This window comes from Homo sapiens, chromosome 3 (genome assembly GCF_000001405.40).
Source record: "Homo sapiens chromosome 3, GRCh38.p14 Primary Assembly".
Taxonomy (NCBI): Eukaryota; Metazoa; Chordata; class Mammalia; order Primates; family Hominidae; genus Homo; species Homo sapiens.
The window spans coordinates 127053181-127068458 of NC_000003.12; the positions used below are offsets into that span (position 1 = coordinate 127053181).

Consider the following 15278-nt stretch of genomic DNA (forward strand, 5'->3'; position numbering starts at 1 on the left):
TGTCCTGATTCCTCAGATTTCTCAGGCTCTGTTGTGCTGGGGTGCACGCTGGGAGGCTTATGTGTATTACACTGCTCCTCGTGTCTCCCTTTTGTACACTTACGTACCAGTGATGGGTCGGTCCTTCCAAGACACCGTCTAAGAGCCCAGGGGCCCTGCCACTCACCAGGGCCCACTCCATTGTCATAAGCCTGAGTCCCAGGTGGGTCTTCATTTGGGACTTCTCCCACTCCTTCAGTGTTGGGCCTTCATGAGTGCTAAGTTATCTACACACAGTTCCCTGGCACCATCCTTGGTGTGCATGCCCAGGAGGCCCAGCAGAGATGTTCTCATGGCCCGTGTAGTGACTTTGCCGTGCAACTTTGGCCAAAAACTGTTCCCTAGCCACAGAGCAACTGTGTCAGCCAGAGTTCCCAGCTGCAGGCAAACAGAAACGAGCTCTGATTTGAAGGGAATGAAATCTATTGAAAGGTTATAGGGGACCTCACAGAGCCTCCAGGAGTCCATGCAGCCAAAGTTGTGCTGCAAGGCTGGGCTGAGGCACATGTGGCTGCTGCCTTGTGCATTTGCCAGTGTCGCATGCTTTTGGCCTTCCTGCAGTCCCCGCTGCAACTACAGCAGCCTCTGATGCCCTCACAGTGGCCCTTGCTTGTGTCACCAGCTTCCTGGTCAAATTTGGGGCTGAGGGTCTGATGGTGGAGCCTAGGTCCTGCTCTCCAGCCCCGGGCACCACTGGGAGCTTGTTAATGCCCAAATCTGAGGCCTCAATGAGGCTTAGGGAGAACCTGCATTTTAACTAGATTCCCATTGTACTAATTATCTTTTCCTGCATAACAATTATTGCAAAACTCAGTGGCTTAAGACAACAAACGCTGATGATCTCACACTGCTCCTGAGGGCCAGCAAGTGGCTGGGCTGATGGCTCTGCTTCACTGTCTCATTAGGCTGCAGCCACCTGCAGGTTTGACTGGGGCTGGTGGGTCTGCTCCCAACGTGACTTGCTCACTGCTGGTGTTGGCAGAAGGCTGTGGCTCCTCATTGTGGGGACTCTCCATGGGACTGCTTGAGTGTCCTTGCAATATGGCGGCTGGCTTCCCTGGAGCGAGTGACCCAAGAGAAAGCCATGTTGTGGCCTAACCTTGCAAATCACATGTGTCACTACACAGGTTGGCCCCACTCAGCCTGGGAGGGACTGTGAGGTGGAGAAGGTGAGGACCTGGGCTTTTGTGGGGCTCTGCTCATAGAAAGAGTATTCACCTTGCAGGACAGCCAAAAACAATGACTAGGATTATTCTCTTGTCCTTTTTCTAACCTACTGAGTTGGATGTTTAATTCAATTATTTGCATTGCTTCTTGTTTATTAATATAAACGTTTAAGGCTATGAATTTTCCTCTGAGGAACAATAGCTCCAATAGTGTTTTTATTATTTCTGAATATGTCAATTTGGAATTTTATTTCTTCTTTGATCCAAGTTTTGCTTAAGAGAGCTTTAAAATTTCCAAGCAAAGGGCCTTTATATTAGTTATATCTGGTTTTATTGCATTGTGAATAGAGACTTTTTTCTGTATTTTTTTAAACAAAATAAAATGTATATGGCTTAAAAATTCAAATCGTAGCATTATCAAGCTTAAAACAAAAATCTTCTGACCCCTCTCCTTCCCTTGAACACTCCAACTCCACTTAGTCCTTGAGGCAACTGTCTTCGGCCCTCTTCAATGGCTTTTCTGTTATGTCCCACCCCAGGCCTGAGAACAGGACTGCACCATCAATTCCAGACATTCCAATATTAGGCACTATCTGCTATCATTGTCCTAAGACCAGGACGCAGCTTTTTATCTTCCCCTGTTTTTACACACGTCCCCCCTCCCTGTCCTATTCTCGTAGTCATATCACGATTTTTGGTGAAATGCATTTCTAGCACTGGTATTCCTCTGGTTGTGTAAATATTGTTCATAGATGAGTCCCATAGTGCACCATGATTACATTGATTTTCTTATGCAATTTTCCCTCTGGATTTGCCCCATTTTAGGGGTTTGCTTGGTTTTTATTATTGTTGTGGGTCTGGAATTCATGGGTTCTTGGTCTCACTGACTTCAAGAATGAAGCCGCGGACGCTTGCAGTGAGTGTCACACTTCTTAAATGCGGCGTGTCCGGAGTTTGTTCCTTCTGATGTTCAGATGTGTTTGGAGTTTCTTCCTTCTGTTCTGGTGGGTTCGTGGTCTTGCTGACTTCAGGACTGAAGCTGCAGACCTTTGAGGTGAGTGTTATAGCTCATAAAGGCAGTGTGGACCCAAAAAGTGAGCAGCAGCAAGATTTATTGCAAAGAGCAAAAGAACAAAGCTTCCACTGTGGGGAGGGGGACCCGAGGCGGTTGCCACTGCTGGCTCGGGCAGCCTAATTTTATTCTCTTATCTGGCCCCACCCACATCCTGCTGATTGGTCCATTTTACAGAGAGCCAATTGGTCTGTTTTACAGAGAGCTGATTGGTCCGTTTTGACAGGGTGCTGATTGGTGCGTTTACAATCCCTGAGCTAGACACAAAAGTTCTCCATGGTCCCCACTAGATTAGCTAGATACAGAGTGTTGATTGGTGTATTTACAAACCCTGAGCTAGACACAGAGTGCTGATTGGTGCATTTACAAACCTTGAGCTAGATACAGAGTGTCGATTGGTGCATTCACAATCCCTTAGCTAGACATAAAGATTCTCCAAGTCCCCACCAGATTAGCTAGACACAGAGCGCTGACTGGTGCATCCACAAACCCTGAGCTAGATACAGAGTGCCGACTGGTGTATTCACAATCCCTTAGCTAGACATAAAGATTCTCCAAGTCCCCACCAGATTAGCTAGATACAGAGTGCCAACTGGTGCATCCACAAACCCTGAGCTAGACACAGGGTGCTGACTGGTGTTTACAAACCTTGAGCTAGATACAGAGTGCTGATTGGTGTATTTATAATCCCTTAGCTAGACATAAAGGTTCTCCAAGTCCCCACTAGACTCAGGAGCCCAGCTGGCTTCACCCAGTGGATCCCGCACAGGGGCTGCAGGTCTGGAGCCCTGCCCCACAGGGAGGCAGCTAAGGCCCAGCAAGAAATCGAGTGCAGCGCTTGTGGGCCGGCACTGCTGGGGGACCTGGCGCACCCTCCGCAGCTGTTGGCCCAGGTGCCAAGCCCCTCACTGCCCGGGGCTGGCGAGTTGGCCGGCTGCTCCAAGTGCGGGGCCTGCCAAGCCCACACCCATCCGGAACTCTAGCTGGCCCACAAGCGCTGCCCACAGCCTGGTTCCTGCCCGCGCCTCTCCCTCCACACCTCCCGGCAAGTTGAGGGAGCCGGCTCCAACCTCAACCAGCCCAGAGAGGGGCCCCCACAGTGCAGTGGCAGGCTGAAGGGCTCCCCAAGCTTGGCCAGAGCAGATGCCGAGGCCAAAGAGGCACCAAGAGCCAGCGAGGGCTGCAAGGGCTGCCAGCATGCTGTCACCTCTCAGTTGGTTTCTCAAACATATTTAGTAATCCACCAACTTTAATTTTTTCTTGACAACATCACTCCTGGAGCCCCGGATGCTTACACTGGCTGTTGCTGTGTTCTTGGTCTCTCTGTCTTCACTGCCCTGGGAACCCCCTGGCCTTAGCTCTGGGCTCCAGCCTCAAGGTTGTTACCGAGCGAAGGGGCTCACTGCCTTGTGTGCTAGAGGCCAACATCGTGATACTTATGAGAAAATAAAAGCTTGACTCCCAAGAATTTCTGTTAGTCACTGGTTTTTAAAAAGCTCTTTGGGGCATAGTTTCAGGGTCTGATATCCTGGTGCCCCTTTCTGCCCTGGCTTGGGCATGCACATAGACCTAGCACATTTTCCAGTAGGCTCATAGTAAGTGTGCACAGGAGAGGCAACATTTTTGAAGCCTTAAGTATCTGAAAATATTTTATTTTACATTTACATGTAAACATTTTTATTTTCCATGTATACTGAGGATACTTTGGCTGGGTATTGAAATCTAGGTTAGAGCTATGGTGTCATCATCTTCTAGCTTCCACAGTGCTGTGGAGAAGTCAGATGCTGTTGGAACCTTATCCTCTGTGACCCGATCCTCTGTTATCTCCTTGACTTTGACATTTATGGAAATGTGCCTTGGTGAGAGTCTGTCTTTATTCATTGGACTGGACCCTTCGTGAGGCCCCTCAGTGCAGGAACCAATGTCCCTCAGTTCTGTAATGCTCGTATTTATTGGATGATTTTTCTCTCCTTAGTTTTCTCTGTTCTGAGTGCCTGTTATTTAGACGGTGGACATCCTGGACTAACCATCTGATTTTGTTTTGTTTCTTCCTTTTGCCATTTTGTCTAACTCTCTGGAGTGTTTCCTCACTCTTATCTCCCCCTCTTCCAACTGAATTTTCAAATTTATGCTCCACATATTTCATTTCTCAGAGCTCCTTTCCGTTCTCATCATTTTCTTTGCTAGAACCTCTTGTGCATGTTCTCTGGATCTTCCCTTCTCTCTCTGAAGACACTCCCTTCAGTTTCCTTCTGACACCCTTTGTTCTACTCCCTGTTTTTCAGACTGCAGGCTTTCTTCAGGTGATCCCTTGACTTTCTGTTCATATTTAAGAGGGAGGCACTAAAAGCTGATTAAACACATAATATGTATTTGTAAGAGCCCAAATTGGAAACGACCCCAATGTTCATTAACAGTAGAGTGGACAATACTGTACCCACACAATGGAATGCTCTCCAGCACCAAGAATGGACCATATTTGTGCAAGTCACGGGGCGAATCTCAAATATGATGCTGAAGAGAAGAAGCCAGTCTTGAAACAGCACACCTTTGCCTAAAGCATGGAACCAGGCAAGACAAATCTGTGTGCTAGGAGTCACGATAGTGTTGTCTTTGCCTGGGGGTGGCGACTCAAAGGGGCTGAGGAGGTTTCTGGGATGCAGGTTTATTCTCTCTCTTGATCTGGCTGACTAAGGGCGTGTCCTGTTAGTGAAAAATCATCATGCTAGACTCTCAGGATGAGTGCACTTCAGTGTCCAGCAATTATACGTTCAGCTGAAACCATACAAGGGAAATCCGTGGGACTTGTGGGCTGGTGGGTGACCCCGTGGGGCCAAGCTGTTCCTCCAGAGAGCAATCTTCCATTCTCCTGCCTGGGTGAGCCATTTGTGAGTGGACTGGGAGTGGGGCAGGCGTCTCTTGACTCCCTGTGCAGGCTTCTCACACACTCCACTTTTTCAGTAAAGAGCCTCACTTCTGCCCTGAGAAAGGCTGAGCTCCCCACCTCCAGAGAGTCTGGGTTCACCCTCCACAGAGAATAAACCTCCCATCTTCAACTGGGATGGTGGGGGATAGGGATCCAAATGCCCAGACCCTACCTCCAGGGTATCTGGTGCCTCCAATTCTGCAGGCTTGCTGGGCCTCGTGATTGGCCTGATTCTGCCTGGCTTCCTTAATTCTTGCTTCAGAACAGTTTTTGTTTCACTGTATTTTCTGGGCCTTCTATTAGTAAGTGAGGGACCATCTGGACTAATTTGTTAACATTTCTTTTTTCTCTCATATTTTCTCTCTCTTTCCTTTTGTTCTGCTTTCTTGCAGATTTCTGCAACTTTATGTTTTAATCCTTGGGTAGATTTTTAAAAATCAGCTATCATATTTTAATGTTGTTATTACATTTTTTATTTTGGGATAATTATATTCACATGCACTTATAATAAATAATACAGATATTTCTGTGTACTCTGTACTCAATTTCCCCCAGTGGTAATGGTTTGTAAAGCTATGGTAGAATATCACAACCAGGATATTGACATTAATGCAGTCAAGATAAAGAACATTTCCATTGCTTCAGGTATCTCTTGTAGCCACCCTTGTTTATATCCAAAACAACTTTTCCTTCCCCCGTCCCTCTAACCTTGATCCTTGGCAACCACTAATCTGTTCTTCAGTTCTATAATTTTGTCATCTCAATGGTATTATATGAATAGAACCACAGAGTATGTAATCCTTTGGGCTTGGCTTTTTCACTCAGCAGAATTCTCTGGAGATCCATCCAAGTTGTTGCGTGTATCAATAGTTCATTCCTTTTATTGCAAAATAATATTGCATAGTACAACGTACTACAGTTTGTTTAGCCATTCATCTGGTGAAGGATATCTAGATTGTTTCCAGATCTGGGCTATCACGAGTAATGCTGCTATGAGTATTTATGTACAGATGGTTGCAGGAACATACTTTTTCATTTCTCTGGAATACAGTGCAGTTGTTGGGTTGTATGGTAGTTGCATACTTAGTTTTATAAGAAACTGCTGAACTCTTTTCCAGACTGGCTGTGCCATTTTACATTCCTACCAGGAATGTACGAGCAATACAGTTTCTGCACATTTAGAGTCAGTATAAATATTGACGCATAGTCCTTTTGCAAGGGTGAGGTCTTGAGTTAAGGCAATGACTTCTGTTGGCTGAGAGGTAGTGGACGGGGGGCAGAGTGGTAGCCTCAATGATAGATGTGGAAGATACGATAGCATAGCCTGCCTTTGCTAATGAGTGGCGATTAGGATGCACATCCTCACCAGCATTTGGTGTTACCACTAGTTTCCATTTTAGCCATTCTGTTAGGTCTGTAGCGTATATCTTTGTGGTTTAACATGCGTTTCCTTTATGGATAAGATGTTGAACATCTTTTTATATGCTTATTTGCCATCTACATGTCTTCTTTAATAATATGTCCATTTGTGTCTTTTGTCCACTTTCTAACTAGATTGGCTTGTTTTTCTTTTTCAACTTTTAGCTACCCTATTAACTGAAGGGATTTTTTTTTTATTGCTAAGTTTTGAGTGTTCTTTTTATATTCTAGATACTAGTCCTTTATTGGATATGTGGTTTGCAAATATGTCTCCTAGTCTGTAGCTTGTCTTTTCACCCTGTTAAAAGAGCCTTTTGCAAGCAAAAGTTTGTAATTTTAACAAAGTCCAGTTTGTTAATTTTTTTTTACGGCCCATGCTTTCTGTGTCAGGTTGAAGAACTCTTTGCCTAGCTCTAGAGTTTCTGTTATGCTCTTTTTTTCCTAAAAGTTTTATAGTTTACATTTAAGTCTGTGATCCATTTTGAATTGAATTTTATGTAATGTATGAGGTGTAGGCTGATGTTCATTTTTTTGCAGCTATCATTTAAAAACTAAATAATAGACCACTTTTAAGTTTTGGATTTACAGAGAAATTGAGCAGATTGTATAGAGTTCCCGTGTAATCCCACCCCTGAACACAATTCCTCTGTTATTAACATCTTGCATTAGTGGCACACTTGTTATAGTTAATAACCCAATATCGATACGTTATTATTAACTAAAGTCTATAGTTCACCCTTGGTTGTACTTCTCTGTGGGTTTTGACAAAGGCAGAATGTGGTGCATCCCCTGTTACAGTGTCAAACAGGAACTTCACAGCCCTAAAATTGCCCTGTGCTTTAGCAACCATTGATCTTTTCACTGTCTCTATAGTTTTGCCTTTCCTAGAATGTCATACAGTTGGGATCATATAGTACATAGCCTTTTCATACTGGCTTTTTTTCGCTTAATAACATGTATTTAAACTTTCTCCATGTATTTTTGTGACATGGTAAATCATTTCTTTCTTTTTTTCAGAGACACGGTCTCACTCTGTCACCCCAGGCTGGAGTGCAGTGGTGCCATCACAGCTCACTGAAGCCTTGACATCCTGGGCTCAAGTGATCCCCCTGCCTTAGCCTCCCAAGTAGCTGGGACTACAGGCACATACTGCCACACCTGGCTATTATTTAAAATTATTTTTTGTAGAGACAAAAACTTATTTTAAATAATATTTTTGTCTCTACAAAAAAATATTTTTCTTTTTTGTCTCTACAAAAGGCCTGTTATGTTGCCCAGGCTGGTCTTGAACTCCTGGATGCAAGCCATCCTCCTGCCTCAGGAGCCCGAGTAGCTGGGATCACAGGTGTGGGCTGGATCATTTCTTTTTTTTAGTCACTGAAGAGCATTCTATTGTGTGGATGAACCTCATTTGTTTATCTATTTACCTACTGACAGACATCTTGGTTGAGTCCAGTTTTTGAAAAATATGAATAAAGCTGCTATAAACATAGCAGTAGGTTTTTGTGTGGACATAAGTTTTCAATTCAGTTGGGTAAATACCTAGGAGTGTGATTGCTGGATCATATGGTAAGACTATGTTTAGCTTCATAAAAACTGTGTCTTCCACAGTGACTGTACCATTTCACATTCCCACCAGCAATGAGGGAGAATTTCTGTTGCTCCACATCCTTGCCAGCATTTGGTGTTTTTTTTTTTTTAATTAGCATACTGTTCTTGTTTTATAGCTGTAGCATTTCTCTCATTTCTCGAAAACTATTAATTAGAATTTTTGGTAAATTTCCTTGTGTTTCCTGCTGTAATGTTGGTTTCTTTAATTTCCTTCTCTATGTTTACTTTGTTTTCTGTCTCTCAAGCTGGGGCTTTCTGCAGATGTCTGGTCATCCTCAGCTCCCCATTTATCAGCAAGAGTCGATTGGATGCTCACAGGCTGGGCTTCGCTTTTTGGTTAATTGCAAGCAAGAGCAGCTGTTTGACTGCAGGGGGACCGCCGAAGGTCTCCTACTTGGTGGGGGAGTGGGGGAGTGGCCTCCTTCCTGCTGCCCTGTATTGGGTAGAGGAGGGGACTGGGCTGGTGGGATTTAACCAGTAGGTGTCCAGACTTTCAGAGAGTTACCCTTGTGTCTCCCATGTTCACTACATCCACAGAAGAATCTACAGTCTCCCGCTGGGGTTGGGGTGGCATCTGCCTGGGTGTTGAACATGGGCAGGGGCAAGCAATGGGCTTTTTCGAGTAAAGATTTCAACCGCTCCCTCTGTGGTCTTCTGGCCTTTTCATCCCTTCCTTGTTGCTGCCATCAAGTCCTGAGCCTCCCAGGGCTTCTGCAGGGAAGATAAGCTCACTTCCCGTCTGCAGTGCTTGCCCTGGAGGGCGAGGCTTTCTGACCCATTAAGTCAGATGTCCTATCTCTATTCTTCCACAGGCAGAAGGTCTCTATCCACTGACATTCCCATTTATACCTCCTATGTGGGTTTACAATTTTAAAACATTTTAATTCCTTAGGCAGAAGCAGAGATAAACTTATATGGTCAGTCAATCCATCACCTTTAACCAAAATTTCTCAATCATTTTATAATTATAAAGTTAGGGGATACAGGCCGTGTGCAGTGGCTCATACCTGTAATCCCAGAACTTTGGGAGGCCAAGGCAGGCTGATCATCTGAGGTCAGGAGTTCAAGACTAGCCTGGCCAACATGGTGAAACCCCATCTCTACTAAAAATACAAAAATAAGCCAGGCATGGTGGCGGGCCCCTATAATCCCAGCTACTTGGGAGGCTGAGATAGGAGAGTCGCTTGAACCTGGGAGGCAGAGGTTGCAGTGAGTCGAGATTGAGCCACTGCACTCCAGCCTGGGCACAGAGCCAGACTCTGTCTCAAAATAAATAAATAAATGAATAAATAAATAAATAAGGTTAGTGGATACAGAAATATCTTAAACAACATAGACACATGTAAAACAAAACAAACACACACAAAAAAGTGACATTTTCTTAGCACCTTCTGCCACCTTCCCCTTCCCTAGATGCCACACAGTAGCTGTCAGGAATGTGTCCTTTCTCTGTGCAAGTGGACAGCTGCAGACTGAGAATTTGTGCCTACATGTACACGTTCCCTGGCTGTCCTTGTAATCACGCTCTGCGTCTCGAAGAGCTCTCCTGGAAGGCACTTGCCACCCCACCGTGGTGTGGGGGTGGTGGTGGGGGGGCTGGGCTGTGAGCTCCCTTAGCAGGGGGTTCGCCTCAGGTGCTGAGACAAGGTCAGCAGTGACTGAGCAAGATGGAGGCCTGTCCGGTTCTGCCTGGCGCAGGCTCCCCTCCCAGCCGTCTTTGCTCTGAGCTCCCCGTCGGGCTGTCAGGTCTGCACCAGGGAGGAGGGCTCCCTGCCCAGTGCTGCTTCCGTCTGTCCTTTCCCATATGTGACTCCGGCCTCCTTCCCTGTCCTCGCTGTCTCAGTGTCAGCTCCTGGAGGAGCTCTGGACACACTCTTAGTCTGAACTCTGAGTTTTCTCAGGTCCCATTTATCAGGGATGCTTTTCTAAACCAAAGGGCATACATCTGCCCTATCCTTTTTAAGAACTGTGTGGTATTTTATGGCAAGAATGTAGCATAAGTTACGTACAGTCTCTTGGGTTTTTGTTTGTTTTTTGAGATAGGGTCTCACTGTGTCACCCAGGCTGGAGTGTAGTGGTGGGATCTCAGCTCACTGCCGCCTTGACCTCCTGGCCTCAAGCAATCCTCCCATCTCAGCCTCCCTGTAATTCCTATAGCTGGGATTATGTGTGTGTACCACCATGCCTGGCTAATTTTTACATTTTTTGTAGAGACCAAGCTCCCTATGTTGCCTAGGCTGGTCTCAAACTCTTGGGCTCAAGCAACCTTCCTGCCTTGGCCCCCGCAAAGTGCTGGGATTACAGGTGTGAGCCAGTGTGCCTGGCCCACACTCTCTTGCTGATGGAATCTTAAGAAGTCTAATTATTCTTGTGAAAAACCTTGTGAAAAAAAGCCATTTTAAACATGTATTTCACGTTATTTTGTGTGTATTATTATAACATATATCATTATGTATTACATAATACATATGTAATACAGATGATATGTATGACTTAATATGTATAACATATGATATAATAGATATGTTGTTATATGTGTATCACATGTTACATACATATACATGTGTATCACATATTAAATATATGTTTCATAAGTATTTCAACCCAACAGATTAGTTTGAAAACAATGTACGCCTATGTTTACTTTCTCTGTCCGCCTCTCCCTCAGGACCAGGTGCCTAGCTGACTTAGCACATTCTCTGGAGAGGAGTGTGTGGAGCGGGATTGTGTGGGTGCTGAGGGCCTGCGGGCCCAGGCAGGGCTGTTCACACAAAGGCAGACCAGATCATCACAGCCCATCCTGCCCTCCTTGAAGACCACCCTAAGGAGGCCATGGTACATGCCACTCTCTGAGTTCTGTTGGAATTTCTACATAAACCAGAGAATTAAAAAATAGACATTTTATTCTCCTGCAAGGTCTCTGTGGGATTGAGAGGTCCTTCTTGCACGTTGATTCTTAAGGATGTTTCGCCTTCCTATTTTTGTCACGTCTCCCTTAAGTCAGTCGTGCAGTTTCTCCCTCTGGCCTCCTCCGACCCCTGCACTCTGAGTTCTCCTCTGAGGCTTGGAGCCCTCCTTCTCAGTGGTTTATGGGGGCTCCCTTTTCCCAACCCGCCCCTTCCAGCTGGGACAGTCTCCCTGGTCCCTGACATACTGGAGAGGGAGGCCGGGCATTGTTTTTAGCGCCCAGCACCCTCCCCTCGCCACCTTCAGTTCAGTGGGTGCCTTGTGGACACAGCTGTGACGCCATGCGATGCTGTCTCCATAGGACACAGCGTTATGTCTCAGTGCACATGGCCGATGACAAAAAATAAAACACACAGCAAGAGGCAAGGTTCGGGAGGTGCCACCCTCAGGACGGGGGCAGGGGTGGAGGTCCCACCCCTAAGTGCTGGTGGGCCATGCCTCTGGGACCAGATGCCCCCTCAGCTGACAGCGCATCACAAGGACCCGAGCTGAGGATGATCTGGGGGTGCCTGGGGCCAAGGCTTGTTCCACTGGCAACACGGGCAAGTGTGCTGGCCAACAGCTGTCTCACCAGTGGGCAGATTAACAGCTCCCAGGCATGGCTACAGATTCTGCAGGAGAGGACATGAGGGGCCCACATGGGTGTCACCAGTGGGTGACCAGCTTAGGACCTCATGACTCATAAGTAGCTCCTTGTGAGTCATGAGTATTCTCACTGAGCCAGGAGTATTCAATATGCTGCTGGCTCATGAATATTTGGTGTGCCATGAATATTTCTTGCCTACTTGGCCCTTCCCTGCCTTTATCCGTGTTCAGCCCCCATGTGCCCCTCGTGCTCCCCAGCGCGGCTCACGGGCCACTCACTAGCTTGCTTGTTTGTGTGTCACTCTTGAAGTCCACCTACTCCCTTGTTTTCTTTCTTTCTCTCACAAAATTGAGACAGCCCATTTGGGGGATATTTGAATATATTTATTCTCAAACAACAAATAGCAAATATACATGGCAGTCAATCTTTTAAAAATAATTTTATAAAATGATGTCATATACTGCTCACATCAAAGTGTGTATAAAATATATTTACATAGTTTTAGAATCGTAACAAAACAAATACCTGTGCCTCCTCTCAGGTTAAAAAAGGTGACACTCGTATTCCCCTAAAGCAGCCCCTCGGCCCTCCCCTTCCTCCTTCAGCGTGGCTCCCTCTTCTGTAGTGTGTTGCTAAACATGTATTGGCTTCTAGCGACAGTTCCATCCCTAAACAGTGTGCTGTTTGGCTTGTGCGTTTCCGAGTTGAGAGGAATGCAATCACACCACACACATTTTCTGGGATCTGCTTCTCTTGCTCAACATCATGTTTTTGAGGTTGATTGGGGTTGCAGGGATTCCTTCAGGCGACCAGCTGCACATGCTTGCCTGGGATTGAGGGGTTTCCCAGGACACGGGGCATTCAGTGTGGACACCGGGAGAGTTCTGGGGCAGGCCCAGCTCATTTTGCCGCTGTAGGAGGTCCCGTGGTGCGAACCTGCCACAACTCTTGTCTGTGGATGTTTGGGCTGCTTCCATCTTCAAGCCATTTGAACAGGGCTGCTGTGTGGAACATTCCTGAATGTGCCTCTGGGCACTGGGAGGCGAGGTGGGTGCATGCAGACTCCTCCAGATGACAGCACGCTGTTCTTCCAAGGGACTGCAGCCATTCACGCATCCTGGTGGAGGAGGAGCACGGCCACTCCTCCAAATCCCCGCTGACACAGGGTGTGGTCCAGTTTCTAATTCTTCCCCATTCGGTGGGGGAGAAATTGATCTCACGTGATTGTCATTCAGATCCCCAAGGTTACTAACAAGGTTTGTTGGCCATTTCAATTTTCTTCATGAGGAATGCCTGTTCCTGTCTTTCAATCACAGTCTCCTTACTGACTATTGTAGTCCTTTATATATTCTGGATATTAATGCTTTGCAGTTACATGGGTTACAAATATCTCCTTGCAGCTTGTCATTTGTGATTTCATTTTTTATGGGGCTTTTGGTGAACAGAGATTCTTTATTTTAATGGAACTGATTTTATCTCTTCCTTTGTTTCTGCTCATTCAAGGGCTCTCTCAAGACATTCCCCCATGTTGTGTTCTGGAAGTTTCATAGTTTTGCCTTCAGTCCATTTTGGTTGATCGTTGTGTGGGGTGTGAGGCAGGGGTCCAGCTTTATCTTGACTCTCATGGGATCACTGATGAACAACACTGGTTTTTGCACTGGTTTTGCACCATTCATATTCTGGTTCCCATTGCTGTTTGGGGCTGTCTCTGGGATCTCTTCTGTTCTCTGTGAATGGCTTTCCCTCTGCAGCCTGGTACCCACTCAGCAGACACCTCCAGAGGTTGCCTTTGGGAGGGGGTGCCTTTCCCCTTGGTACCAAGGGCAAGGAGGGGTGTCCAGGCCTCTCTGTCCACATGCAGCCTGGGCTGGGGAGACATGGGGGATGGTGTCCAGGGACAGGGCTGGGAGCAGGCCTTGAAGGCCATAGTGAGGGTGTGGACTTGACAGCAGGTACAGAGAAGTGGTGGATGCCCTTTAGTTGGGGAATGTATGACAGATACATGGATGACATATATGATAGGTAGGTATATGCACACATAAGTGTGAGTGTGCCTGCACCTGGCTGTAGGTATAGATCTTATGGAAGCCATTTGGCCATTTGGTGGCACAGAGGTCAGTGTGGGCAGGAATGATGGCAAGGGTCAGGGGCTACCTCTTAAGGGGATGGCCAGCCTGCGGGCCTCCGTGTGTGGTTCACTCCTAGCTTTACCTGTGCTCACTGAGCCCCACCATCTGACACACCATGTCATAGCTCCATTAGGTCCATGGCTCCTCCTCCCTGAGTGTGACTGACACATGCACAGTCAGTGGTCAGCACTCACCGAATGAGTGGATGAATGAGCAGGTGAGTGGCGGGTCCCATACAGGGACAGGCACTGAGAGGGCCAAGGGTTTGAAGGAGAGAAAAACAGGTAATGCCAGGGCCAAGCTGTCCCCTGATGCGACTCAGGGAAACCCATCAGAGCTCTCCGTTACGTGGCCACAGCCTTTCAGGGCTCCAGAAGCATCACGTGCCCTTGTTCCCATCTTGACTTCCCTGCCTCCTTTCATGGAAGACAGCTCAGCTGTGAGTCCAGTTTGATGTCCAGGGGGCAGCATGAGTTTCCCAAGGCCCCACAGCAGGTCTGTGGACCAACTGGAGCCCCCAACACCAGCACAGCCTGGACAGAGGATGTCCTGCATGCAGGCCTGGCCCAGCACCCACTGACCTGTCTTTCCTCATCCCAGCCGTGGAGTATCTGTTTAATACCTTGACATCTCTTTCTGAAGAGCTGTTGCTTGGCAATTGTTGCTAGGCAAAATTCATCATTAACCAAGAGTCAGGGCTCTTGATCGGAGGCCTTCAGGAACACTGTGGGCCTGCAGGATGTGGTGGGAAGAATCCTGAGATGGCCTGGAGATTCCTGCCCCAGGGGCACACACCCTGTGTGATCCATCCACTAGAGCATGGGCAGGACCTGTCAATAGGATGGGACAGCTGTTCCCTTGATGAGATCACATTCAGTGGCCAAGGTGATGGAGCGTCACACCTGGGATCAGGCAGTATTAGATTGGACTCAGTAGTCCAGGGAGAGGAGCTCCTGCTGGCTGCTGATAGGCAAGTGCCACATTACTAGAGGGCTGTGTGCCAGGACTGGCGGGCACTGTCCATGAGTTGGGAGTAGCCCCCCTCACCAGCAGGAAGACAGGACGTCAGTGCCACCACTGCAAGGAGCTGAGTACTGCCAACACCCAGCAAGCTCACAGGAGGGCCCGGGAGCCTCAGCTGAGAACCATGCCCCAGTGACCCTGAGATCCAGCCTGAAGACACCTGTGCCGAACCCCGGCCTGCATGGGCAAGGCTTTAAGTCACTTCATTTGTGGTAACTTGCTGTGTAGCATAGAAAACGAATACACAGGTCTGGGCGTGGGGAGAGGAGTCTGCTTTTAGGAGCAGCCTTGGTGCTGAGGTTGGCTGCCGGGACGAAGGAGGAGAAGAAAACAGGAGCCC

At 47.2% G+C, this 15278-nt stretch overlaps 3 annotated features.

The window, feature by feature from the left end:
- Positions 239-739: an enhancer, noted in NCBI's record as "H3K4me1 hESC enhancer chr3:126772262-126772762 (GRCh37/hg19 assembly coordinates)". NCBI's record gives its function as "activates a minimal SCP1, AML or CMV promoter by ChIP-STARR-seq in naive H9 embryonic stem cells {active_cell/tissue: H9 hESC(naive)}" and the evidence as "EXISTENCE:reporter gene assay evidence [ECO:0000049][PMID:30033119]".
- Positions 8853-9053: a silencer, noted in NCBI's record as "peak4817 fragment used in MPRA reporter construct". NCBI's record gives its function as "represses an SCP1 promoter by STARR-seq MPRAs in K562 erythroleukemia cells {active_cell/tissue: K562}" and the evidence as "EXISTENCE:reporter gene assay evidence [ECO:0000049][PMID:32103011]".
- Positions 11692-12191: an enhancer, noted in NCBI's record as "H3K4me1 hESC enhancer chr3:126783715-126784214 (GRCh37/hg19 assembly coordinates)". NCBI's record gives its function as "activates a minimal SCP1, AML or CMV promoter by ChIP-STARR-seq in primed H9 embryonic stem cells {active_cell/tissue: H9 hESC(primed)}" and the evidence as "EXISTENCE:reporter gene assay evidence [ECO:0000049][PMID:30033119]".